This window comes from Homo sapiens, chromosome 3 (assembly GCF_000001405.40).
Source record: "Homo sapiens chromosome 3, GRCh38.p14 Primary Assembly".
Taxonomy (NCBI): Eukaryota; Metazoa; Chordata; class Mammalia; order Primates; family Hominidae; genus Homo; species Homo sapiens.
In genome coordinates, this window is record NC_000003.12 from 81,738,221 (window position 1) to 81,763,792 (window position 25,572).

The window sequence follows — 25,572 nt, forward strand, 5'->3', positions numbered from 1 at the left end:
ATGTGTCTTTATAGCAGCATGATTTATAGTCCTTTGGGTATATACCCAGTAATGGGATGGCTGGGTCAAATGGTATTTCTAGTTCTAGATCCCTGAGGAATCGCCACACTGACTTCCACAATGGTTGAACTAGTTTACAGTCCCACCAACAGTGTAAAAGTGTTCCTATTTCTCCACATCCTCTCCAGCACCTGTTGTTTCCTGACTTTTTAATGACTGCCATTCTAACAGGCGTGAGATGGTATCTCATTGTGGTTTTGATTTGCATTTCTCTGATGGCCAGTGATGGTGAGCAAAAAATGTGTGTTTTTTTTTTAAAAAAAAAGACTCTTCACAGGTTGGAAGGCACTGACTTAAAGCTATTGTAATGAATGTAATTACTTGCAGAAATAAATCTAAAGAAAAATTCTAAAAAAATTCCATACCCTGGAATGTAATTCCTTGGGTCATTTTATTTTCCGTATCTCCTAATCACAATTAATAATATTTACAGAGCACGTACTTCTTGCCAGCCAGTCTTTACATGGATTATCCCATTATTTAATCCTCATAAAATGTTGATAAAGCTGGTATTATTATCCTCATGTTATAGATTACAAAATTAAGGGTTAGGAAAGTTAAATTACCCATAGTGTCAGTCCATTCAGGCTGCTATAACAAAATACCTTAGACTGGGTAGTTTATAAACAAAAGAAATGTATTGCTCATAGTTCTGGAAGCTGGTTAGTCCAAGATCAAGGTGCCAGCAGGTTCCATGCCTGGTGAGGGATCTCTCATAGTTTCATAGTTGGTGCCTTGTTGTTGCTTCTTCATGTGGTGGAAAAGGTAAATGAGCTTCTTCGTGCCTCTCTTATAAAGGTACTAATCCCATTAATGAGGGTAGAACCCTCAGGATCTAAACACCGCTCAAAGGCCCTGTCTCTTAATATTATCATCTTGGGGGTTAGGATTCCAATATATAAATTTCGGCAGAGGGAATACAAACATTCAGACTGCAGCACATAGCAAATAGTTAGGGAGCTAGGATTTGAACTCAGGCCAGCTGACCCAAGTCTCAGCTTTTAACCACTGCAGGATACACTGTCAGCCTACCCAGCAGTGATTTTATATATGTAAAGCAAAATATTTCATGTGAAACTCATTAAAACTTCTAACTGTGTGATATCCAGACCCAGAAATTTGAGTGTATAACATCTTAGTTACCAGGTAAATTTTATATACTACAATTTATCACTGGATTATTCCTATTACCTCCAACTAGCCAGTAAATTACTCAAGAACAAAAGACAGGGGTGCACTTTCTAGAAGACAACATATTGCCTGGCAAATATTGAGTGAGTTAACGCCTGTCTCAAGAGCACTGGGACCTAGGAATTGATCTTTCCTTAATAGAAAAATAAAATATCTTACCCTGTTCATCAGCTTAGGTAACACAATAATGTGGTCACGGATTCTCTAGTTACCTTTTTTTATTGAGAGGTTTCATTACTGACTTGAGTTTTTCCATGAGGCTTCCAAAACTGGTTAAGCCAATTTTACCTTGGCTTATCATCCTTTGAAAATTGACATATATTCTATTCCTTTAGAAAGTATTTCTGCTAATTTTCTTACATTTTTTAACCAAAAACACATATCCAAACATTAAATAAATTACACATGCCTTTGATTAAGTTTCTACAATTCCTTTCCAAAGTCCATAATAAACAATTAAAAATAAAAATCGGGCCAGGTGTGATGATCACACCTGTAATCCCAGCAATTTGGAAGGCCAAGGCAGGAGAATCACCTGAGCCCAGGAGTTCAAGACCAGCCTGAGCAGCATAGCAAGACCCCATCTCTACAAAAAATTTAAAAATCAGCCAGGAGCAGTGGCATATGCCTGTAGTCCCAGCCACTCAGGAGGCTGAGGCAGGAGGATTGATTGAGCCTAGGAGTTCAAGGCTGCAATGAGCTATGATCTTGCCACTGCACTCCAGCCTGGGCAACAGAATGAAACCCTTTCTCAAATAATAATAATAATAGATTAACCAATACATATTACAGTGTATTGGTTATTTATTATTTAATCTATTCTTTTCCACTTTTGTCTAATTCACACCTGAATTTTGTCTTAGCACCAAGAAAATAAGATTTTCAGCTATACATAGAGGATCTCTCTCTTTTTTTTTTAAGCTGGTATCTACCCATATGTAAAGCTGGCCTTTAAGAAAAGCCAAAACAAAACAAAACAAAAAACAAATAATCATGAATTACATGGTCTCATGTTGGAGACCACTTAACTTCTAATTATTATTTTTCTCATAAACGCAGTACGGAGAAGAGAACTAAACCTGAGGGAAATGGCTACAATAACCAGCAAAGGCCAGTCAATAAGGCCCAGAATTGAAAATGAGGAGTATGAAATACTTAAAGCCATTATAAGATTTTGCTGTCTTTCTCCAACTATACAAACTGCTAAGAATAGTGCCTCCGGATCACCTGTTTAGTGGCTGAATCTGGAAATTACAACAAACTCCCACTGTACTGCCTAAGAGTGTTAGAAAGTGCACACACACACACACACACACACAATTTATTTAAAATCAAATTTTGTCTAAAAGAATCCATCACAAACATTAAAAGCTAAAAGGAGTCTTAGGGAATTCACCCTCTCAGTAACTGAACTGAGGTCCAGACCACTAATTATTCAGCCCCAAAATCTCTCTCTCATACACACCCGTACAGAAAATGCCAACTGACAGGGATTTAAAAGGTTAAGAAAAAATAGAGCACAGAGCCAACATAAGTCATACAGCACCAAATCTGGCTATTTATGGCTTATTCAAATTTTTAGTATTTCCTGGGTTATAATTGAGCCTTAACTAAAAACCAAAATAAAATTAAACCACAATGTCATTAACAAATAACAATTAACAATACCGTCTATATAAAAACATCTTTGATGCCATAAAATATTAAGTGTCTAAAACCTTAATATTTATCATTGTATTTTCAGCCAGATCTTTCCATTAATGCAAAAGTGGTTGTTAATAATGTATAATAATCAGTAAGTTTGCAAGCTTGAGAAATATTTAGTTCAACAAACCATTTGATTTTTTTTTAAGCCAAAGAAAAAGTATTCAGACCTGGAGTGAATCACAATGCAATAGAGCCTTGGTTGTATTTAAAAGTGTAAATTCTGTTTTAAGCATTTCCACTCCACTTGAGAAAGAGCAACCACAAAATTCCCAAATGTCAACACAGATGGAAGTCGAGAGGAACAGCAATGAAATCTAAAATGCAAACTATAACCTAAAAAAGAAGTACTCTTCCTTTCTCCTTAATGTTATGATGAGTATCCCCAAAGAGAGGAAAAGCCCCATTTTCTCCCATGTTTGTACACAGAAATCAGCATAATTAATGGGAAAACATTCCAACTAATACAAGGCATAATATAAAAGCCATGCATACATCACACAAGTTCTATGTATATGTGGTGTGTATACAACACAAATATACACACATATAACATGTATGATATATAAAAAGTATAATACTCTATATAATATATAACACTCTACATAATATATAGAGTATTATACTCTACATAATATAGAGTATTATACATATTATATAGATTATATATAATATATAGTTTTTTATATATAATATATAATATATATTATAACTAGAGCTCTAATTTTAGTTTAGCCCTCCACCTCCCCATCTATATTCCCTAGAATCTCTTGAAAATCTTGATACTATAAAAAGATATTTCAAAACCTACCTCAATGTAAACCAGTAGTGCCTTAAAATAAGACAGCAAAGGGTTTCTCTTGCATGTTTCTGTTTGCCAGACTTCCCCCCATTAAAAACCTAAATCCTTCTAGATTATGTCATTATAGCCAATTTCAGACCCAAAGAGTAGCTTCGAGAGCCTCTACTTAAAATGCTATCTCCTCTCAAGCCAAAAATTATACCTAATTCATATTCATTTGGGATGGAAAGGAAGATAACCTGTTTCATTCACTTTTAAAATAGCACTTTAAAAAGAGAATTTGCTACCTACTAAATGAACTTGAACGTTATAAAAAAATCAGCAAATCAGTCTCTTATTCTAGTGTGAATACTGCTGTTCAGGAAAATGCTATGAACAACTTTAAAAGTTCAGGTGGACAATTAAAATTCTATTCATTAAAAAAGGATGGTTTATGACATAAATAACTGAAACAGATTTGAAATAAATATGAAAACTGGGCATGCATGTCTTCCCCTTAGTAATAAAAATGAAATAATATTTTTGTGAACCAAATAATATCAAAGAAGGCATAGGCGCCCCATCATTTGCTATGCCATAAACACAAAAAGGAAACCTTCTTAGGAAATCCACATCGAATTTTAACAGTGAAGGTGAATGAAGCCAGGAATGATAGAAATTACTACTGGCCTGGCTGGAAAATCATGTTGGGCCTGAGGCGAAAGAAGTTTTTTAAATAGGAGAATGTTCTGAAATAGAAAGCATGTTAAACAGAATTGCCCGAGGACTGTTAGGAAATGAAAAATTACACTAACTGCATTGGGAACAGCAACCTGATAAAAGCACAATGCACAAATTACAATCTTCTTCATGAGTAGTATTAGACACGAGAAAGGTTAAGCGGTATGTGAGAGAGGTTTTGCCCACCACAGGCCACTACATGATAAAAGAATTACTCCCAACTGTTTCTAGGGACCCTCCAACAACGACAGTAATAAATATTTCTAGATTCCTAATATTACAGAACAAGCTAGACCAGACCCCTAGTCAATACACATTTGCAAAACACCCCTGAGTACAAATCTCTATTCTAAATTCTATAGAAAATACCAAAAGACAATAATGTGTCCCCTAACTATATTCTTCTCTTCTTAAATTCAAAACACACAGCCAGCATCCCAAAGATGCTCAGTGAGTCAGCACGTACTAAACAGCATAGTGTGGAAAACACAACATGGATGAGAGCAGGAAAACAACATTCCACTGGAAGAATGTGACTGATTGCTCATGAAGGCAAATACTTCTAAAAATGGCAATGTTTTCATTATGAGTATGAGGTTAACTATTATTTAAAGTTATATATGCAAATATAAATAAAAAGTATGAACACTGAAGAAACTACCATCTAGAGAAAACAAGAAAAGCAAGTCATGAAGAAAAGAATATAAAAAGACACAAGGCACACACACAATCATGAACACACATACACCCCCACAATATTATCACTAGTTTTAAGTTTTAACAGAGAATCAATCTTTCCAACCCCCCTCTCTTACAGGCAAAGACCAACTCAAAAATAATGCAAGTCATAATGAGTCACCTCACTTTAGCAAGATTCATGGGACAACGAAGTTAGAAACAGCTGTTAATCTGGGCCGAATCCAAGTGAAATTGGAACATCCAGAAAGGTCTAGGGCTATTAAAGCAGACAGCAGTCACCTGATCTCAGTCATTTTATCAAGAAAGACCAGATTTACTTTGTCTGGCCCATGTTTTTGTTTTGTGTTGTTTGTGTTTTTGCTTTATAGGACGGACATGATGCATTTAGCATTAAAAAAAGACATGAATAAGAATTACCTCAATGAAAAGGTCAACGTGGACTAGCCATGCCAAGTAACTTAGGGCAAACATGACCACCTACTTAGCCACTGTTAAGTATGTGGCATATCTCCATGTTTACACTTAACATATCATCTACTTATTTATCTTCAAATATAAAAAAGTCACTGGTCAATAATTGCAGAGTCCCTATCTTAGGCTAAGTCAGAATTTCTTTGGGTCTAATTACCTCTGTTATGAACACAGGGCTGACTGAACCATTCTCCCTCCTTAATCTTCCCCTTGAATCTCTTTGTGGAGTGATACCAACTTTTTCCAAAAGCTGTTATTTCAAATACCCACCTGCACTGTCTAATATGGTAGCCACCAGCCAAACATTATTATTAAGCACTTGAAATATGACTAGTCCCAACTGAGATGTGCTATAAGTGTAAAATACACATCAGATTTCAAAGACTTAGTACAAACGACAGGTAAAATATCTCATCAGTACTCTTAAGTTACATGTTGAAATGATACTTTGAATACATTAGGTTGAATAGTGTAAAAATTAGTTTTCTTTCTACCTTTTTTAATGTGGCTACTAGAAAAGTTTAAATTACCTGTGTGATTTATATTACATTTCTATTGGATAACATTGGTCTGGGCAGGACACCTAACATGGAATCAGGAGGAGCATGAGCATTCAGTACTCATTTGCTTTTCTGGAAACCTCTCCAGATAACACTCATAATGTCCCTTGACTCACTCAGGAATGCAGCCACTTAGCTTACTCAGGAATTGCCTCATTCCCATTAAAAACAGCCCACTATCCCTTCCAAAATGGGCTTATCTGTTATAAAGAAACATGTTGCTGTGTTTTCAGATATGATTTGCAAGCTATTTTAGAGGCTTCAGTGCTCACACAATGTGGCAATTCTTACACAAGCACATTTTCCAACTGAACCAATTTTGCAAGTAAACTTTCACTGTAACCAAAGCTGTATAAAAGTTCAAATGATACCTTCATTAAATGTTTTAATGAAGATTAATGTCTTAGCTCTTACATTATTTATTTCCACAAAACCCACAGACTTCCACATTCTTAAAGACTCATTCTAATTTTAATAGAGAAATAATTTTGAGAACTTAAAGCAATTCAAAAGAACTTCTTTGTCATATATGTATTATCCCCTTCCTTAATAGAAGAAGATATGCTTTCATCTGTATTACACTGAACTTTGTGATTAAATATCTACTCTGTGTTTATTTGCCTAACTGAGCTCCTGTCAGGTAGGACGCCTATCTTACTCATATTTGTTCTGCTATCATATAGAAAAGTGCCTGTGCCAAAGAGAGTGTTAGGAATAAACTTCTTACAAATCTGCAACAGTAAAACTCATAGTACAGATGTAAGAAAAAGCAACTTTGATAATATTAACAATAAAACCCTTTTTACCTATAATAAGAGTTAGAAAACTTACTGTGACCACCAAAAAATTAAGTAACTTGGTTAACCTCATCAGTATATACATGTATTACTTATTTTTAAAAATTTGAAATACATACTTATAGCTTACATATTTACAGAACAAAATTTAGCCCTTTGCTAACTCCATTTTGAACAGAGGTATGGGACTACCTACTACTGAAAGTATCCTCTGGGAAACAGCAGCATCAGCATCACCTGGAAACTTCTTAGGAAGGCAGACTCTGACCCCAATGCACATAAAATGATGTATATGTAAATTATAACAATAATAATTATTGTAATGATGGTGATGATTATTATTATTATCAGTAAACTTGGTAGAGATCACTTTTGGATGTTTAGTGCTTCAAATTCATTATAATGAGTTACAATTGTAGAATAAATATTTCCTCAAAAACTTAGCACAAATGACAGGTAAAATATCTCATCAGTAATCTTTTAAGTTACATGTTGAAATGATAATTTGAATACATTAGGTTGAATAGTGGAAAAATTACTCCACTTTACCTTTCTGTTTAAAGGCAGATAAATTTTTAGCTATATTATTCATAAATTTTCTAAATTTTGCCAAATAAACGTACAAACAACTTCCATCTCTCAACAACTAATCAATTTCTATTTGGAAAGTGGCATGCTATGATTTCTAATATATTTATAAGATAATGAACCCTGATAAATATCAAAGAAAATATTAATATTGGAATAAACTAAAGGCTAATTTCATTTAGATAAAAGAAACTAATTTTGTAAAATACTGACATTAGTTAAGATTTAACCAATTCATTCTTACAAATAAAATTATAACACAAAATATTAGATTTACTTGTCATTTAAGTCAAATAAACAGACAAAATGAATGAAACTTATTTTTAAAGTAATAGGTGTTTGTTTTTTCTCTGTACTTCAATGTATATAAATAAAGGCAATCGTTTTCATAATGTAGAAGTGAAGACTGATACTGTGAAATGAGAGGGTTCTGAGACTAAAATATAAAACGTTTTAAGTTTTTTTTTCTGAGACAGGGTCTTGCTCTGTTACCCAGGGGGAGTGCAGTGGCACAATCTTAGCTCACTGCAGCATTGACTTCCCAGGCTCAAGCAATCCTCACACCTCAGCCTCCCAAGTAGCTAGGACTACAGGTGCTCGCCACCATACCTGGCTAATTTTTATTTTTGGACAGATGGGATCTCACTGTATTGCCCAGGCTGGTCTCAAAACTCCTGGGCTCATTCAGTCCAACCACCTCAGCCTCCCAAAGTACTGGGATTACAAACATTAGCTACCACATCTGGCCAAGAAATGAAATTTTTAAAAATAAAAAATCAAATTAAAATGATAAGTCAAATTAAAATGATAACCACTACAGTTATGCAGTATACATGAACATATACATTCATACAGATTCATATGAAGAAATATTTGGAATATAAATCAATAATGTGACACGACAGAAAAATATGAAAATCAAAAACTGAAAAGAAAAAACCTTAACATGAGGCACCTACTTGAGAATAAATTCCCATATATATCACAAATTTTTGCCTGGCTTCCTAAAGTTTAGGGTTTGTCAAAGCTTAAAATGAGATCTCATAAATAAGAAAACTGACAGTTTGTTTCCATGCTTTCGATAACCTATAATATGTGTAAAAATTTTCATTGCTTGTACCTTTCAGTGACACCTGATTAAAGATGAGGGTAATTTTGGTCAGGTCGCTTCTCAATACAAGTTTGTCAGTTTATGATCATTAAAAGGAAGCAAACACACATAAGCAATAAAATAAACCTGGACTTAAACCTAAAACATTACACAAAAAATTAATGCACAATGGATCACAGACTTAAATGTAATATGTAAAACAACAAAACTTTTAGAAAAAAAAATAGAGAAAATGTTCAGGTCCTAGAGCTAGGAAAAGAGCTCTTAGATATGGCAACAAAAGCATGATTCATCAAAATAAATGAAAAAATTGAAATTTTTAACTTCACTAAAATTTAAAAATTTTGCTCTGTGAAAGACTCTGTTTAGAAGATAGAAAGACAAGCCACAGACAGAAAGAAAATATGTGTAAACCACAAATCTAACAAAGGATTTATGTGTAGAACATATAATGAACTCTCAAAACACAAAAATAGGCCAAGCTCAGTAACTCAAGCCTGTCATCCCAGCACTTTCGGAGTCTGAGGCAGGCTGGTCATTTGAGGTCAGGAGTTGGAGACCACACTAGCCAACATGGTGAAACCCCATCTCTACTCAAAATACAAAAATCAGCTGAGAGTGGTGGCACATGTCAGGTCTCTGAGCCCAAGCCAAGCCATCACATCCCCTGTGACTTGCACGTATACGCCCAGATGGCCTGAAGTAACTGAAGAATCACAAAAGAAGTGAAAAGGCCCTGCCCCGCCTTAGCTGATGACATTCCACCATTGTGATTTGTTCCTGGCCCACCTTAACTGAGTGATTAACCCTTTGAATTTCCTTCTCCTGGCTCAGAAGCTCCCCCACTGAGCACCTTGTGACCCCCGCCCCTGCCCACCAGAGAACAACCCCCTTTGACTGTAATTTTCCATTACCTTCCCAAATCCTATAAAACGGCCCCACCCTTATCTCCCTTCGCTGACTCTCTTTTCGGACTCAGCCCGCCTGCACCCAGGTGAAATAAACAGCTTTATTGCTCACACAAAGCCTGTTTGGTGGTCTCTTCACACGGACGCGCATGAAAGCACGCACCTGTAATCCCAGCTACTAGGGAGGTTGAAGCAGGAGAATCATTTCAAATGGGGAGGCAGAGGTTGCAGTGAGCCGAGATCACGCCACTGCACTCCAGCCTGGACAACAGGGCAAGACTCATCTCAAAAAACAAAAACCGGCAAGTGAAAAAAGAAAAATCAATCCAGTTAGAAAATGGGCAAAAGACATGAATAAACATTTCACCAAAGAAAACGTACAAATAGAAAATAATACTTTAAAAGATCTTTAAATGTAATTAGGCATTAGAAAAATGCAAATTAAAACCACAATGACATAGCACTATATACCTATTAGTTAACATAAAAAATAGTGAAGGCCGGGTGCGGTGGCTCACGCCTATAATTACAGCACTTTGGAAGGCCGAGGAGGGCGGATCACCAGGTCAAGAGATTGAAACCATCCTGGCTAACACTGTGAAACCCCGTCTCTACTAAAAATACAAAAAATTAGCCGGGTGTGGTGGCGGGCGCCTGTAGTCCCAGCTACTCGGGAGACTGGGGCAGGAGAATGGCGTGAACCCGGGAGGCGGAGCTTGCAGTGAGCCGAGACCGCGCCACTGCACTCCAGCCTGGGTGATAGAGCAAGGAGACTCTGTCTCAAAAAACAACAACAACAACAAAAATTAATGATAATACCAAATGTTGGCAAGGATGCAGATCAACTGCATCCAGTGGAATGCAAACTTGTACAGATACTGTAGAAAATATCTGGAGGCCGGGCGCAGTGGCTCAGCCTGTAATTCCAACACTTTGGGAGGCAGAGGTGGGTGGATCATGAGGTCAAGAGATCGAGACCATCCTGGCCAACATGGTGAAACCCCGTCTCTACTAAAAATACAAAAATTAGCTGGGCATGGTGGTGCGCACCTGTAGTGCCAGCTACCAGGGAGGCTGAGGCAGGAGAATCGCTTGAACCAGGGAGGCAGAGGTTGCAGTGAGCCAAGACGGTACCACTGCACTCCAGCCTGGTGACAGAGCAAGACTCTGTCTCAAAAAAAAAAAAAAAAGAAAAAAGAAAAAAAGAAAATATCTGGAAATTCCTTATAAAACAAATGCTTGCCACGTGACCCAGCTATCACAGCATTCTGTGCATTTATCTCAGAGAAATAAAACCTATACATAAATATTCATATCTTAGGTTTACTGTAATATTTGTAATAGCCAAAAACTGGGAACAATCCAAATGTCCTTCAACAGGTTAATAAACAAACTGGATGGATGGTACATCCATACAATGGAATACCACTAAGTGACAAAAAGGAACAAACTATTGATATATGCAACGTGGAGAGATCTCAAGGGAATTATGCTGAATGAAAAAAAAAGGCCAAAAAAGCCACTGTCAAAAACTGATATATGATTTCATTCATAGAACACTCCCCAAATGAAAAACATTACAGACATGCAAACCATATAACTCACTGGTTGCCAAAAGTTAGGGATGGGTGGGGGAGGGGCAATGTGAGTATAAAGGAATAGCAGGAGAGCATTCCTTCGTAGTGATGTAACAGTTCTATATCTTCATTGCAGTGTCAGTTACATTAATATACACATGTGATAAAATTGTATAGAAGTGTAGACACACACAAATAAGTATATGTAAAAACTGGAGAAATGTAAATAAGGTCTGTAGTTTGCACCAATGTCAATCTCCTGGTTTTGATACAACCACTGCAGTTATGCAAGATATTACCACTGCAGCAAACTTAGTGAAGGGTAGAGGAGCCTTCTCTAAACTCTGTTTGCAACTTTCTGTGAGTCTGTAATTATTTCAGAATGATTTTTTTTAATACGGTCTAACACAATTTACAATTGTCTAAACAATCTCCACTATGTTTTCAAATGTCCTCTGACTTTATAGGTACTTGGAACCTGCTAAAACCAACCCTTAGGTTTGATACTACTCTTATTTCTATGTACTTCTTGTTTATATGTTGTATTTGTGAGTAGAGGTTTGCCTAATACTGCATGGGTACCATACAGTTTTTAATTAAAGGCACTTTGGAGAAGTAAAGCAAAAAGAAGCCTGTTAGTTTCACTACACTCCTATTACTAGTAAGCACAACTTAAACCACAAAAATAACACTGCCAATCAAAATGGTCAAGAGGATGGAAGACTCCAAGGTGTAGGCAAAAAGCAAACAGGTAAACAAAAGTGTCAGAGTATTTTAATGCAGAAAGAGAAAAGCTGAGACAAAATAATAATAAAAAGCACAAAAATGACAACCATGAAGACTGATAGTTACACATCTTAAGCTTTAAAAAGAACAGCACGGAAAGGTACAATGTTAAAGCCTCATAAGCTTGTGTGTAGTTACGTAAAAAAATAATTCATGCTTTAAAGACTTAGCATAAATTAATGGACATTTTTAATTTTGTTCTCCTTTTCTTTTTAATCACACAAATTTTCTATTCTCCAAATAACTGAAAACTGACCATTTTTTCATGAGCCCAAGATAAGATGAAAAAATTATTAGTAATTAAGAAACCAATTTCATCTCAAAACATTCATATATATATATACGTATATATATATGTATATATATATGTATATATATATACGTATATATATACGTATATATATATGTGTATATATATATATGTATATATATATACGTATATATATATATGTATATATATATATGTATATATATATATACGTATATATATATATATATATGTATTTTTTTTTTTTTGGCTCTGTCGCCCAGGCTGGAATACAGTGGCGCGATCTTGGCTCACTGCAACCTCCTCCTCCCCGGTCCAAGCGATTCTTCTTCCTCAGCCTCCTAAGTAGCTGGGACTATAGGTGCGTGCCACCACGCCCGGCTAATTTTTGTATTTTTAGTAGAGGCAGGTTTCACCATATTGGCCAGGCTGATCTCAAACTCCTGACCTCGTGATCTGCCCACCTCAGCCTCCAAAAGTGCTGGGATTACAGGCGTCAGCCACTGCGCCTGGCAACATTCTTATATTTTCTAAGAATATTCATGAAATTAAAAAAAGAAGATAGTGGAGCTAGGGCCAAGTAGCTGAAGTGACTGAATCACCTTAAGACAGAGCAGTGAAAAGTCTCTGTATACCCCCGGCCCTCCGCCAAAAAAAAAGAACCCAGAAAAACAAAGATCAGGTCTAGCAAAGTAAAATCCATAACCAGCGGCTGGTAATACTGAGGGGTGTTACTATAGACTCCTCTCAGGAACAGTAGAATGCCTGGATCCTGCACAGAATGATTTGTGCATAGATGTGATTTTAGAGGACTACAGCATGATCTCACTGGGCTTTTCATCTTCTGCCAGATGTAGTTTCCTCTTTGGAGAAAGGAAAAGAGCCCTGGGAAGTTGTGATGGATGAGACAAAAGGATACATTTCAGGAAGATGTGTGTGCCACTGAAAGCCTTGATGATCCAGGCTCACTTTCAGCTAAGGATGACCATGGGACAATTCTGATCAATAACCTGTAAATGGGAAGAACCAGTTGAAGTTTACAAGAAAGCTAACATATGCTTCACTAAAAAAGACATAGTAAGCTAGCACGTGTTCCAGCTAGAAACATGGATGTGGTGCCAAGCTGTGCCCAATCAACCTCTAAGCATAAGAAAGGAGACCATATGCTAAGGATAATATAGCAGAAGATAAAGAAGGATGTATTTAAGCTAAAGCCCAAACCACTGACCTTCGCTTTTCTTCACAAGCCTCTATTTCTATAATTCATTGCTTGTGGGATATTCTGTTAATTGAAAGTGTGCTGGGTTTTCTATGACATGAACCTAAATGCATAACCAATTTTATCATGTTTCTGTACTGGTGTGTATATCTGTATTGTGCAGTTATTCATAATTAAATATAACCTGTGGCTAGGTGTTATTAATGGAAATGAAAACAGATTGATGACACTGAGTATCATGTGATATCACCGGTAAAACAAACAGTTAATTCTTTTTGCTGGGTATTTGGAAAACTTCAACTTTATGCAAGAAATACATTTGTATATTTGGTTTCTGATTATCATATTTTGGGTTGTAGAACTAGTGTATAAACCCAGAGATTGTGTCTCATTAAAATTAATCATTCAATGGATCTACTAAAATACATATGAATATTCTATTCATTTGTTTTATGCATCTTATGGCAAAATCAAACCCATTGAAAATAACTGCAGCCATCAAATATCAAAAAGCAAGAGAGGAAAAAAAAGAGAAGGCAGAATATTGGATTTATAACTTTTTCTAATTAATATGCACATATCATATGTTCAGACTCCACTAGAATAATTATTTCATTTTCAAACTTTTATGCTGCTATTATATATTTTTTCTTCTTCTACATTAGTCTTATTTTCAAAGTTACTCCTGCTATTAGTAAACTCAGTATGACCATTCCTCTAACCATCTACAGTTCAGGAGGAAGAAAATCCCTGCAGCTGTTTGATGCCCAAGAATATGAACACTTAGCAGTCAGATGAAAGAAAAGAAAAAGACAGAAAAGGAAGATCAAGAGAACAGTGATTTTGAATTTCTGCAGGCTAGCATTTACCTCTCTCAATAAAAGGAGCTTTGTGCTCATTATATCCCAGGACTCATCTTGCCTTCAGCTTATAGTAAACTGGCAATTTCTTTATCATTTCCTCTCTAAATTAAGGATCAAAGTTTAAACATATTCCTTTCCTTCTCTATTAGATTATGATTAAAATTACCACCTGCCTCACCTCATTCACACAATCACTCCTACTAACAAAAAAAAAGAAGGAACCCCCTAAAGTAAGGCACAGTTAACTAGCAAAACAAAGAGTTGTGGGGAATTTCTGGTCATGGTATTTATCTGATGATTGATTTCAGAATACAGTGTTAAAGAAGCAAACAGTAAAATCTTCTGAAAGTAATATCCTAGTAAATATTTAACTTGATATATTAGTTTGCTAATAATATTATCATCAAACTATTATTTGTTTACTGAGCATCTTCACATGTATTCTTAGTCCTCAAGACACCCTACAAAGTGGATTCTATCCAACTTTTATGGATGAAGAAATAAGTTCACAGAGGTTGATTAATTTTCCCTAGGACTCAAAGCTATTTAATAGTTATAAGAGCTAAAATTTAATTGTATAATAAATCAATGAATGTAAGATGTATAACATATTTTAAAACTCTACATAATCATGTGTTTAACATAGAGTCTTACCTTTTGTCAAGGTACCGGGTTCCTGTTGCCCTAAACACAAAACACAATGGGGATTCTTCTGGATATTAAACACAAAGGAGCCCTGGATTCAAAACAGTGGTGAACATAAACTGATGAGCTCATATTGCCATAAGAAGAAAATCAGCTCACTTTACAATGAAAGGTACCTGGTAGTAGCAATTTTCTCCAAAGAATACACTTTCATATTTTCCTTTAATACCTATAAATGTATAATCAAAGTTTAATATGTGCTTTCAAATAACAGCAGTATGATATACTTATCAGTCTAAAACTATAGCATATTTCACAGAGACAATATTATCACCTCACTAGCTGACCAAGGCCCAGTTTGATGAGAGCTGAAAGGAATCCTGTAAGTTACAACACACACAGTCATTTCTCAGGAGGTGGTGCAGCAGGTGCCAGAGCCTAAACTAAACCAAGATGCTCCACGAAGTCATTTGAAGGCACTTTGAAAATGAGAAGAGGTCAGAGCCTGTTGACCATCACTGTAGAGAATTCAGGAATGACTGGAGTTAGTAAAGATCTCAGCTGCAAAGGGCAAATGAATCTAGTAGTGCAGAAGAGCAGGTCATGTACATCTTGTCATCTTCAGATTCTTCACTGCCTTCTACAGTCACTGACATCTGACTTCCTTCAGAGCCCACAACTTGGCCAGGCACTGAGAAAAAAGTACCCCATTCCACTGTGATATAAAACTTCTGCGCTGTGGGAACCAATTTTTGGTGTGGTTGGCCAGAGCAATTAGGCAAGAGATACAGCTAAAGGGCATCAAAACTGTAAAGGAAGAAGCCAAATTAGCCTTGTTTGCAGACAACATGATTATATACCTACAAAAACATAAAGACTCCACCCAAAAGCTGTTAGAAGTGGTAAACAAATTCAGTGAAGTTGCAGAATACAAAATCGAAATATAAAAATCTGTATGATTTATATATGCCAACAGAGAACCATCTGAAAGATAAATCCAGAAAGCAATCCCATTTACAATACCTACAACGAATACAAAATACCTAGGAATCAATATAACCAAAGAAGTGAAAGATCTATACAAGGAAAACAATAAAACTCTGATGAAAGAAATACAAGAGGACACCAAAAAATGGGAAGGTATTCCATGTTTACGGATTAGAAGGATTAATATTGTTAAAATGACAATACTAGCCAAGCAATTACAGACTCAATGCAATCCCTATCAAAACGCTGATTATCATATTCTTCACAGAAATATAAAAATAAATCCTAAAGTTTAAATGAAACCACAAAAGACCCCAAATAGCCAAATAAATCTTAGCAAAAAAAAAAAAAGGAAGAAAGAAAAAAGCTGGAGGCATCATACTACCTGGCTTTAAAATGTATTACAAAGCTATAGAAACCAAAACAGCATGGTACTGGCATAAAAACAGACACATAGACTAATGGAACAGAATGGAGAACTCAGATCTAAATACACACATTTGCCACCAACTCATCTTCAACAAAGGTGCCAAGAACTTAAAATGGGGAAAGGACAGTCTATTCAATAAATGGTGCTGGGAAAACTGGATAACTATATGATGAAGAATGAAACTAGACCCCTAATATCTCATCATACACAAAAATCAAATCAAATGGATTAAAAACTTTAGTCTAAGACCTGAAACTATGAAAATTGTAGCAGAAAACACTGGGAAAATGCTCCAGGGCACTGGTCTCTCACATAAAGATTTCTTGTGTAAGACCTTAACATAGGCTATCAAAGCAAAAATAGACATCAGAGTATAAATCAAGCTAAAAAGCTTCTGCACAGCAAAGGAAACAATCAACAAAGTAAACAGACAACCCATAGAATAGGAGAAAATATCTGCAAACTATCAGATAAGAGATTAATAACCATAATGTACAAAGAACTCAAATAATCAGATAGCAAAAAAATCTGACTTTAAAATGGGCGAAAGATCTGAACAGACATTTCTCAAAAGAAAACATATAAATGGCCGACAGGTGTATGAAAAAAATGCTCAATATCACTAATCATCACAGAAATGCAAATCAAAACCACAATGCAATATCATCTCACTACAGTTAAAATAGCTTGTATCAAAAACATGGGCAGTAACAGATGCTGGTTAGGATGTGCAGAAAGGGAACACTCATACACTGTTGGTGGGAATGTAAATTACCATAGCCACTTGGAAAAAAAAACAGTATAGAAGTTCCTCAAATAAGTTAATATATGACTATGATATAATCCACCAATGCTACTACTGGGTATATATCCAAAAGAAATAAAATCAGTATGTTGAAAAGATATCTGCACTCCCATGTTTATTGCAGCCCTATTCACAATAGCTAAAATATGGAATTAACCTAAGTGCTTATCAACGGATGAATGGATAAAGAAACTACAGTATATATACACAATGGAATATTATTCAACCATAAAAATTAATGAAATCCTATCATTGCAGCAACATGGATGGAACTGGAGACCATTATGTTAAGTGAGATAAGCCAAGTACAGAAAGGCAAATATCACATGCTCTCACTCATATGCAGAAGCTAAAAAAGTGTTTCTCAGGAAGACAGAAAGTAGATTGGAGGTTACCAGAGGCTGGGAAGGACAGTGGGGAAGGAAGATAAAGGAGGAAAATATATATAAATTTATTTATTACCACTGAACTGTGGTTAAAAATGGTAAAAATGGTGAATTATATATGTACATTTTACCTCAATACAATTTTTTTTTAATTTCTTGGAGTGGTTGCTAACGTACCAAATCCAAATTACTTTCTAATTTTAATAGATACCAATGTGAAAATTATTTTATTTCTAACCAAGTAGAGCTCTTCACTGTAATTGTAATACTTAACATATAATATTTATCATAAAACCCCTTCTCCCATTCTTGGACACACAGCTACAACTTGACATCAGATTCTCTCAAACTGACTATTCCTTCAGAGATCAAACTTTTAGTCTCTGATGAGTATGAAAGTATCTAATTAAGAAGCTATTTTCTTGATTTATTCTGGTCATCTTTAGCTCTTTAATTGAGCATATATTCCCCTTACCCAGATTGTCACATGAAACCTCTAGTAACTACTCCTGTTCCCTGTTCATCTACCCTAGTAATCCAGACATTTTTAGCTCCAGGTGAATTGACCATAGACTCACTGGTATGGCACAAAGGAAAAATGAAGTCAGAAGATATTCACTCAGCCACTGGCTCATTCAAGTATTACACTAAGTATTTACTGTGAGGCAGGTCCAGTTCTACAGACTGAGGAATACAACAGTGAATAAATAATATAGACATAGTACCCACTTATGAGAGCAAACAATCTAGTGGGGGATACAAAGAGTAGAAAGACAACTGTATTACAGTGGATGAGCATGCATAGGATAGTGGTCCAAGGTGGCAGAAAAGAAGAGGGACCCCTCAACCAGCCCAGAAGAAGCTTTGAGACAGGGCGAAGTCAGAGAAGGCATATAATATATCTCTAAGCTGTGTCCCAAAACATGTATAGGAACTATCCTAAGGTAGAAGCAAAGAATGCTTAGGCAGAAGCAATAGCATGTACAAAAGCACAGCTTCACTGAGGGCTAAACCAAAACATGTGGCATCCAAGACAGGATAATATGATGTCACACTTTCCAGCTGATACTCAAACATTTGTTAAATGTTTCTCTTTCATGGGGTAGAGAAATTGTTTTATATTAAGAAAATATTAAATACAGGAAAAGATTCACTTATTTAACCCACTCCTACTAAGCTAAATCTGTCACTCTTCTGATAAAGATTAGAAAATTTTTCTAATTCTTCATCTTTCTTATCTTTTATTCAGTGATTTTTCCAGATGCCCCAATTTCTTGTGTGTGGACAAAATAAGAAATGAAAATCTTCAATATTCAAGAAAAAAGGAATGCATGTGGGAAATGGATATCATGTTTCTAATTTATTTTACTGGTATTCTGGTACCTTTACAGAATGGTCCCCAGAGATCCAAGCTGCCCTCTCCCTTTATGGCCCTCTGGTTAGATGGTACCGAGAGGGAGGCTGAAAAGGTCAACAGGGACCAGATAATGCAGAATCTTCTAAGTTATGGGAAGGAGGCTGTACAGAACTCAAGAGAAATGAGGAATGGTTGAAAGGGTTTAAGCAGAGGAGTACCATGATCAGATTTGTTTATTTCAAAATCCATTCTACTTACTCTGTTTGGAATGAAGAGGAGTGGAGAAGTTAGAATGGAGTGAAGATTTGAAAAAAGAACAACAGCTATGAGGTTGTTTCTGTAAACCATACTAGAGATGCTAGCAACCTGAACTAGGATGGCAGCAGTAGGAAGGCAGCATGCTACATACTTAAAAGTTAGGGGCTACAATTGACTAGACTCAAAGGTCTAGGAGGAGACGGGAGTAATTAGAAATCACTCGTTACCTTTTAGGTTTGAGCAGCTGGTAGAGGAAGATTCCAGACACTGCGATTGGGTTGACAGGGACAAACATGTTTGGAATGAAAATCTGTTAAGTTCAGTTTTATACATGTTGAGATTTGTATTTATAAAACATCAAAATGAAGATATAAATAAGTCCAAGATAAGGAGAAAGATCTAGAGTGGAGACAGATGTGGGCAGCCTCAGTAGATAGATGGAATCCATGGGATGGATGAGAATGTCTAGGGAGAAAATATACAATAGAAATACATAAATGATCCCAGGGAAGAACCTTGAAAATCTCTTACATTAAATGGTCAAAAAGAGGCTGAGAAAATGAAAGAAAAGCAAGATTATGGCTTCAAAGAGCCAAGAAATAGTCCAACATGTACAATGCTAGAGATAAAGAAAAGAGGGATCCCTAAATTATCATGAAGTTGTCTGTGAACTGGTTGAGAACAGTTTCAGTAAAGAAAGATTAATCACAGTTGCAGCACTTACTTATGCCATATATGCTCAAGCCCATCACTTAGTTTCTTCATCTGCAAAACAGGAAAAATGCCCACCGTCTGTCTACCTCATGGTTTTGTTATGAGGATTACATTAAATACCGGATCTGAAAGTACTTTATAAACATTAAACAGAGGGTATAAAGTAGTATTATTAAATTGTGTTGTTTTGACAATGTTCACAAATGCCAATTCTCTGTTTCACCCACATGGCAAGCTGATGGGCACTGGCCAATGTAACGTATCAGCAGAATGGACTCACTGCTAGGCAAAAGCTGTAAGAAATAGTGCATAGTTCAACATGCTTCTCTTTGCACTGTGACCACCTCTACAGAAGCATGTTTCAAAACAAATCCTTCATAAGCCTAGATTTTTGAGTGACTGCCATGAGGAGGGCCCTCTGGCTGACTCATGCTGACATGTAATATGGGAACAATTAAATGTTGTTTTAAAGCACTAAGATTTTGGAATTATAACAACTAATTGTAGTGTAACAACAAGTAAATAACTAAATAAAAGGTAGAAAAATCAAGTGGAAAATGCTATTTTGGGAGGTCATCAATGAGACAACATGGAGGTGGTCAGTCATGCTAATAATGTACTAATTTTTATTTTATAGCAGAGTAACTCATTAATCCTCTACACTTGATTCAAAATTCTCACAGGTACAGAAGGTGAAAAGAACAACTAATGAAGGTGATATGGTTTGGTTGTGTCCCCACTCAGATCTCATCTTGAATTCCCACGTGTTGTGGGAGGGACCTGATGGGAGGTAACTGAATCATGGGGGCAGGTCTTTCCCACGCTGTTCTCCTGATAGTAAGTAAGTCTCACGAGACCTGATGGTTTTAAAAAGGGGAGTTTCCCTGCACAAGCTCTCTTCTCTTGTCTGCCACCATGTGAGACATGACTTTCACCTTCTGCCATGATTGCGAGGCATCCTCAGCCACTTGGAACTGTAAGTCCAATAAACCTCTTCCTTTTGTAAATTGCCCAGTCTCAGGTATGTCTTTATCAGCAGCATGAAAACGGACTAATACAGAAGGGGAAAAGGCCAAGGTAAAGAAGGGAAGGAACATCCAAAACATCCTAAGGGAACATCCAAAAAATTTCAAATCAAAAGATATCTGTTGGGGAAGGATGAGACAGTCCATCAAAGAGAAATTTCCTTCTTCATCACCTTAATTATATACTGTTGTTTGTACCTCAAATTTTCTTCACTCCTTAGTAAGCATACTTTGCACCTAAGTGTTTGACTGGTTATGTATTTGTGTTAGGCCAAAGACACACAGTCCAAATGGATTATCAGAAATAAATGGAAAATTGGACAAGGAACTAAGACCAGATTGTATGAAGGAAAAATGTTTTATTCTTCAAGTGTTAACAATAGAAGTTACCACTAACAAATGCCAAATTACTATTTGATATGCCTAAATGGAACATGTATGCTAGCAAATGGCCATTACTCAGAACCAAGGACAAAAGTAAAATCCGGGTCAGAGTGAGGCATGAGGGCCCACTGGACGAGACTTTTCACCAAGCACACTGGATTCTCTTCCCTTCTTTATCTTGGCCTTTGTTCCCTTCATTAGTTTTGGCAAACCATGAAAGAAGATTATAAATGCTTCAATCCCAGTGGAGTTGGAAATAAAGTACATGAAAGAAACACTTAATAAAGAATGTTAATCTGTTTGTGTCATTTAAAAAAAAAAGGAAGGGGGTGTAGATAAAACATTTCCACAACTCTTCTTTAATAAATATCTTAAGTGTCCTTTTACAAAGCACACAGGTAAATTAATGTCATGGTTACAAGGACATCAAAAAAAAAATCTAACCACTACCTTTAATCACTATCTTTTGTTCTAAATTTTTTCTGACTATTTCTAAATCAAATCCAACCTTAAACCTATGACGATTATGCACTAAGTTTCTCTGAAAGCATATACTGTAAATTCTGAAAACAATTTCACAAGGCTGCTCCTCATATGGTTTATATAAGAGCATAATCATCTGATTAAGTGAGGGACAGCTCAAGGTGATTATTTTACAGAGGCCTCATTCACTACTATATACAAGCTCAAGAATGAAACTTCACATCCCTTACAATCCCTAGAGCAGTGTTTTATTTATAGGAGTTCCTCAATAAACACTTGCTGATTTGAATGCATTTAATACCTGAAAATGCTAGGACACAAACAATTTGCTGGGCTTTTTTCAAACTCCAAATCAACCCATTTTCATTACTCTCAACGCTCCTTCATGCCAGTTAACTAGTTGGATGTTTTCCATCACTCGAAAAATTGGCCATGTATATTCTGTTGCCAGGATAGTTTCCATTCTGCAGTGTCTCTCCTAAAAGGGGAGAAACTATTAAATCAAAATGGGGTAACCTCACAAGTATAACTATTACAACTTGTATAATAGCTCTTTTACTTCAAACAACAACGACAACAGAAAAAGACCTGTACCTTTTTAGTGGAACTTATGAATAGAATTATTAGCCCAGTAACTAAAGTTGTATGGTACACAATGGTAGAAGACAAGCTAAAACGACATTGGCCTGTAAAAGTTGCTTTCCTGACCTTTCTCCCTCTTCAAGATGGTTAAAGTCACACACGGACAAATGTTGATGTACATTTAACTTCTCAATGTTGATCCAAGGGGAGAAAAAATTGATCAATGTAGGTGTAATCTTCCCCTAAATGAGGAATATTAGCAAGGAAAAAACAAAAGGATATAGTGTCTGCCTGAAGGAATCCTCTTAGATATAAAATCACAACATTTGCTATGAAATAAACTAGAAAGTTTTAAATGCGTAATTACACGTGCCAGGAGTTATGCCCACGTTACTCCACAGGCCCACGCTAGTGGGTGCCAAAGTCAGAAAACCTGCAGCGGCGGTGAGTCACTCCCCAGCAGCACTCTGGGGAATAAGTGTTGGAGCCACAGCACGTACCCTATGGCGCAAGACCGCTGATTAGAACAGAGGGGAAAGGGGATGAGGAAAGAAGTTTCTTCAGCGCCCGCTCCGGGCACCAGCGCTGTCAAACCTGCCACTACGGAAGCCACAGAACCCGGTTACCCGAGTCACCCCGAGCCCCGCCCACTCAGGTTCCTCCCCGCCTGGGGCGGGGTTGGCGCGCGAGGGCCGAGGGGCGGCCCGTGTCCCGAGACGGCTCCTGGGAGGCGGGCTGCCTGTCTAAGTGGGGGTGGTGGGATTCCGGCGGTACCTGCGCTGGAAGTCCACGGCGTAGGGCTTCAAGTACGGGTCGATCTCCAGGAGTCTGGCCAGTTCGGGCACGTCAGCCAGGGCGGCATTGAGCGCCGCCTCGTAGTCCTCGGGCCGAGCCGCGGGAGTCATCGGAGCCGCCATATTCCGCCGCAGTCCAAGTAGCCGAGGCCCGAGAGGTCGAGTGGGGCCTGAGCGGGCGCTGGAGCTCTAGCTGGGACGCGGCGGCTAGGGCGGAGCCGGAGGGCGCCTAGGCGTGTCGAGGCAAGCCGAGGCGAGCCGCGGCGGTCCGGGGCCCTTTATAGCCGGGACGGAAGGCCTCCTGCCCTTTCTCCCCCCGCCAGCGGGGAGGAGCGGATCCCGGGGTGATGCCGGGACGCACGTCCGGAGCGGGTAGGAGGCACCGAGGCCTCTCCGCCCACTCACGCGGCTGGCACCTGGAGGCCGCAGGGACCTGCCCTTTCCTCCCCTTAACGGTTTTTTCCTGCTGGCGGAGGTCATTCTAGGAGGTGGGTCCCAAGCTGACCTCGCTCAGCCTTGGCCTTCCTCACCCTGACATATTCTTGGCTTTTCTTTACCCACTTAAGCACCCACTGACAGCGACCCCTTCAAATTGGACATAAGGGGTTTTTTTGGAAAGGACCGTATTTCTCAAAGTTCTGAGACTTTTGAGGGGCAGTATTTCAAACATATCATGTAAATTCACAGAGAGGGGAACAGTCAAGTGTAGCTAGAGTACTACTGCTGAAAATGTTAATACCTCTTACAACCAGGACTCTCCTAAGTTTGCCAGGTCACGTGAATTTAAAATTAACCAAGACACAGAATCCTGGAATACCGTTGGAATTCTGCTGTTCTGGTACTCTTTTCTGCATTACCAACAGCTAAGAATTTTAGCCATGGGAAGAACTTTTCTCATTCTCCGTAAGGCCAAAAAGGAAAAGGCATTTGCCTGTGTTTATAATTGTTAACAAGCTTTTCAACGATTAAACTACCTTTGATAACACAAATGATATCATTGAATTGGAACTCCACTCTGCCACTTACAGTGATAAGGCAAGAAACCTCTCTTCCTCTTGGCTTGGGAAGCTCCCACTTGGAATTCCCTTCTTTTATTGCCATTAACTGACTAGCTTCTATTTCAATAATTGCTTTTTAGGAATACAGAGTTGGACTCCAAGAGAGATGGACCCACCAAACCCAGGAGGGTCCAAGCTGCTTTACACCTAGAAACTAGAGAGGATTGAGGATATTTTTCTTGTTAAAACCCAGAACTGGAGGATCCTAGGGGTTATGGAGGAGAAACAGTATTAATCAGCCGTGGGCCTTGAATTTTAAAATATTTCAAAGGAAAGTTTTTATAAGGGGTTTCATAGACTTGAAAGATAAGTGGATATGAAGACAGACCTCAGTGTGAAAAAGTGAAGGACTTGAACGACTTTAAGACGTGCCTTGTTTTCCATAAAGATGACAAAAAACTGCTGCAGACATTTGTAAAATATAAAGCACTAAAAAAGGAAGAAAATTAAAAAAAAATAAAAACCCGAAGCAGGACAACTATTAATAACAGACCCACAGATCTACATCTCCAAGCCTAAACTTTTTTCAGAAACCCAGGCTTGTATCACTGCCTGTCTACTGAGATTTCCATTTAGCTGGCTAGGAGACCTAAACAAACTGTCTGCAAAACGTGACCTAGAATCCGTCTTCTCATCCTTCCTGCTGTCACTCTTATGCAGGCCACTGTTTTCCTTCACTTGGACCAGAATGTAGCTCTCTAACTGACTTCCCCTCTTCTACTCTTTCTCACCTCTACTCCATTCTCTGTACCAGTGTTTCTCACACTTTAATGTGCATATGAATCACCTAGGGATCTTAATTGAGTTCCGATGTGGTGCTTCAGATTGCATTTTTAACAAGCTCAGAAGTGATTCTGATGCTGGTGGTTGGGGACACAGTTTGGTGAGACTCTACACTGAGTAAATCAGACGATGTCATTTAGCAACTTAAATAGCATAGTATTTCACTTAGGGTAAAATAGAAACAGCTTATCATTCTCTAACAAGGCTTGTATAATCTGGACCCTGACTACCTTTCCAGCCACTTTTCTCATCATTTTCCAGTTTTACTATGCTCTAGTCACACTGACTTTCCTGGAACTCAGTGAATTTGTTGTATAATAGCCTCTAAGATTATTTGCTTGCTGTTCTCTCTGTTGGAAATTTTCAGGGAGCTGAGCTCTACTTGCTTAATTTTTTCCAAGCCTTCATTCCAGCCTCAGCAAAAATGTCACCTCATACCTGAGAAACTTCTGATTATAGACTCCTCAGTGTCTTCTGTATAACTTCAATCTCTTCTATGCAACAGTTAACAGAATCTAGGTGTTTGTTTTTCTCCTATTTATTGACCTTTCCCTTTA

General features: G+C 37.4%; 1 protein-coding gene and 1 long non-coding RNA gene across 3 annotated transcripts in view, besides 7 other annotated features; both read right to left on the reverse strand.

Moving 5' to 3' along the window:
- Positions 1-23,425, reverse strand: part of GBE1 (1,4-alpha-glucan branching enzyme 1) — a 271,943-nt gene extending 248,518 nt beyond the window's left edge. For both annotated transcript variants that reach the window (XR_007095662.1, NM_000158.4), the window contains exon 1: positions 23,155-23,425. Coding sequence is in view for 1 of the 2 variants with exons in the window: in NM_000158.4 (NP_000149.4) it covers positions 23,155-23,297 (143 nt within the window). In the remaining variant the exon portion in view is untranslated. The remainder of the gene's footprint in view (positions 1-23,154) is intronic.
- On the reverse strand, positions 11,946-15,604 carry LOC124909490 (uncharacterized). The gene is made up of 2 exons (XR_007096259.1): positions 14,979-15,604; positions 11,946-13,252 (listed from the first exon to the last, which is right to left on the reverse strand). It is a non-coding gene; the product is annotated as an uncharacterized LOC124909490 (long non-coding RNA).
- Positions 20,098-20,392: a silencer, noted in NCBI's record as "tiled region #3128; HepG2 Repressive DNase matched - State 8:EnhW". NCBI's record gives its function as "represses a minimal TATA promoter and a strong SV40 promoter by Sharpr-MPRA in HepG2 cells {active_cell/tissue: HepG2}" and the evidence as "EXISTENCE:reporter gene assay evidence [ECO:0000049][PMID:27701403]".
- Positions 22,704-22,873: an enhancer, noted in NCBI's record as "active region_20107". NCBI's record gives its function as "activates an Ori minimal core promoter by ATAC-STARR-seq in GM12878 lymphoblastoid cells {active_cell/tissue: GM12878}" and the evidence as "EXISTENCE:reporter gene assay evidence [ECO:0000049][PMID:35858748]".
- Positions 22,974-23,053: a silencer, noted in NCBI's record as "silent region_14539". NCBI's record gives its function as "represses an Ori minimal core promoter by ATAC-STARR-seq in GM12878 lymphoblastoid cells {active_cell/tissue: GM12878}" and the evidence as "EXISTENCE:reporter gene assay evidence [ECO:0000049][PMID:35858748]".
- Positions 23,214-23,503: an enhancer, noted in NCBI's record as "active region_20108". NCBI's record gives its function as "activates an Ori minimal core promoter by ATAC-STARR-seq in GM12878 lymphoblastoid cells {active_cell/tissue: GM12878}" and the evidence as "EXISTENCE:reporter gene assay evidence [ECO:0000049][PMID:35858748]".
- Positions 23,214-23,898: a biological region, named in NCBI's record as "H3K27ac hESC enhancer GRCh37_chr3:81810661-81811269".
- Positions 23,290-23,898: an enhancer, noted in NCBI's record as "H3K27ac hESC enhancer chr3:81810661-81811269 (GRCh37/hg19 assembly coordinates)". NCBI's record gives its function as "activates a minimal SCP1, AML or CMV promoter by ChIP-STARR-seq in naive and primed H9 embryonic stem cells {active_cell/tissue: H9 hESC(naive and primed)}" and the evidence as "EXISTENCE:reporter gene assay evidence [ECO:0000049][PMID:30033119]".
- Positions 23,554-23,653: a silencer, noted in NCBI's record as "silent region_14540". NCBI's record gives its function as "represses an Ori minimal core promoter by ATAC-STARR-seq in GM12878 lymphoblastoid cells {active_cell/tissue: GM12878}" and the evidence as "EXISTENCE:reporter gene assay evidence [ECO:0000049][PMID:35858748]".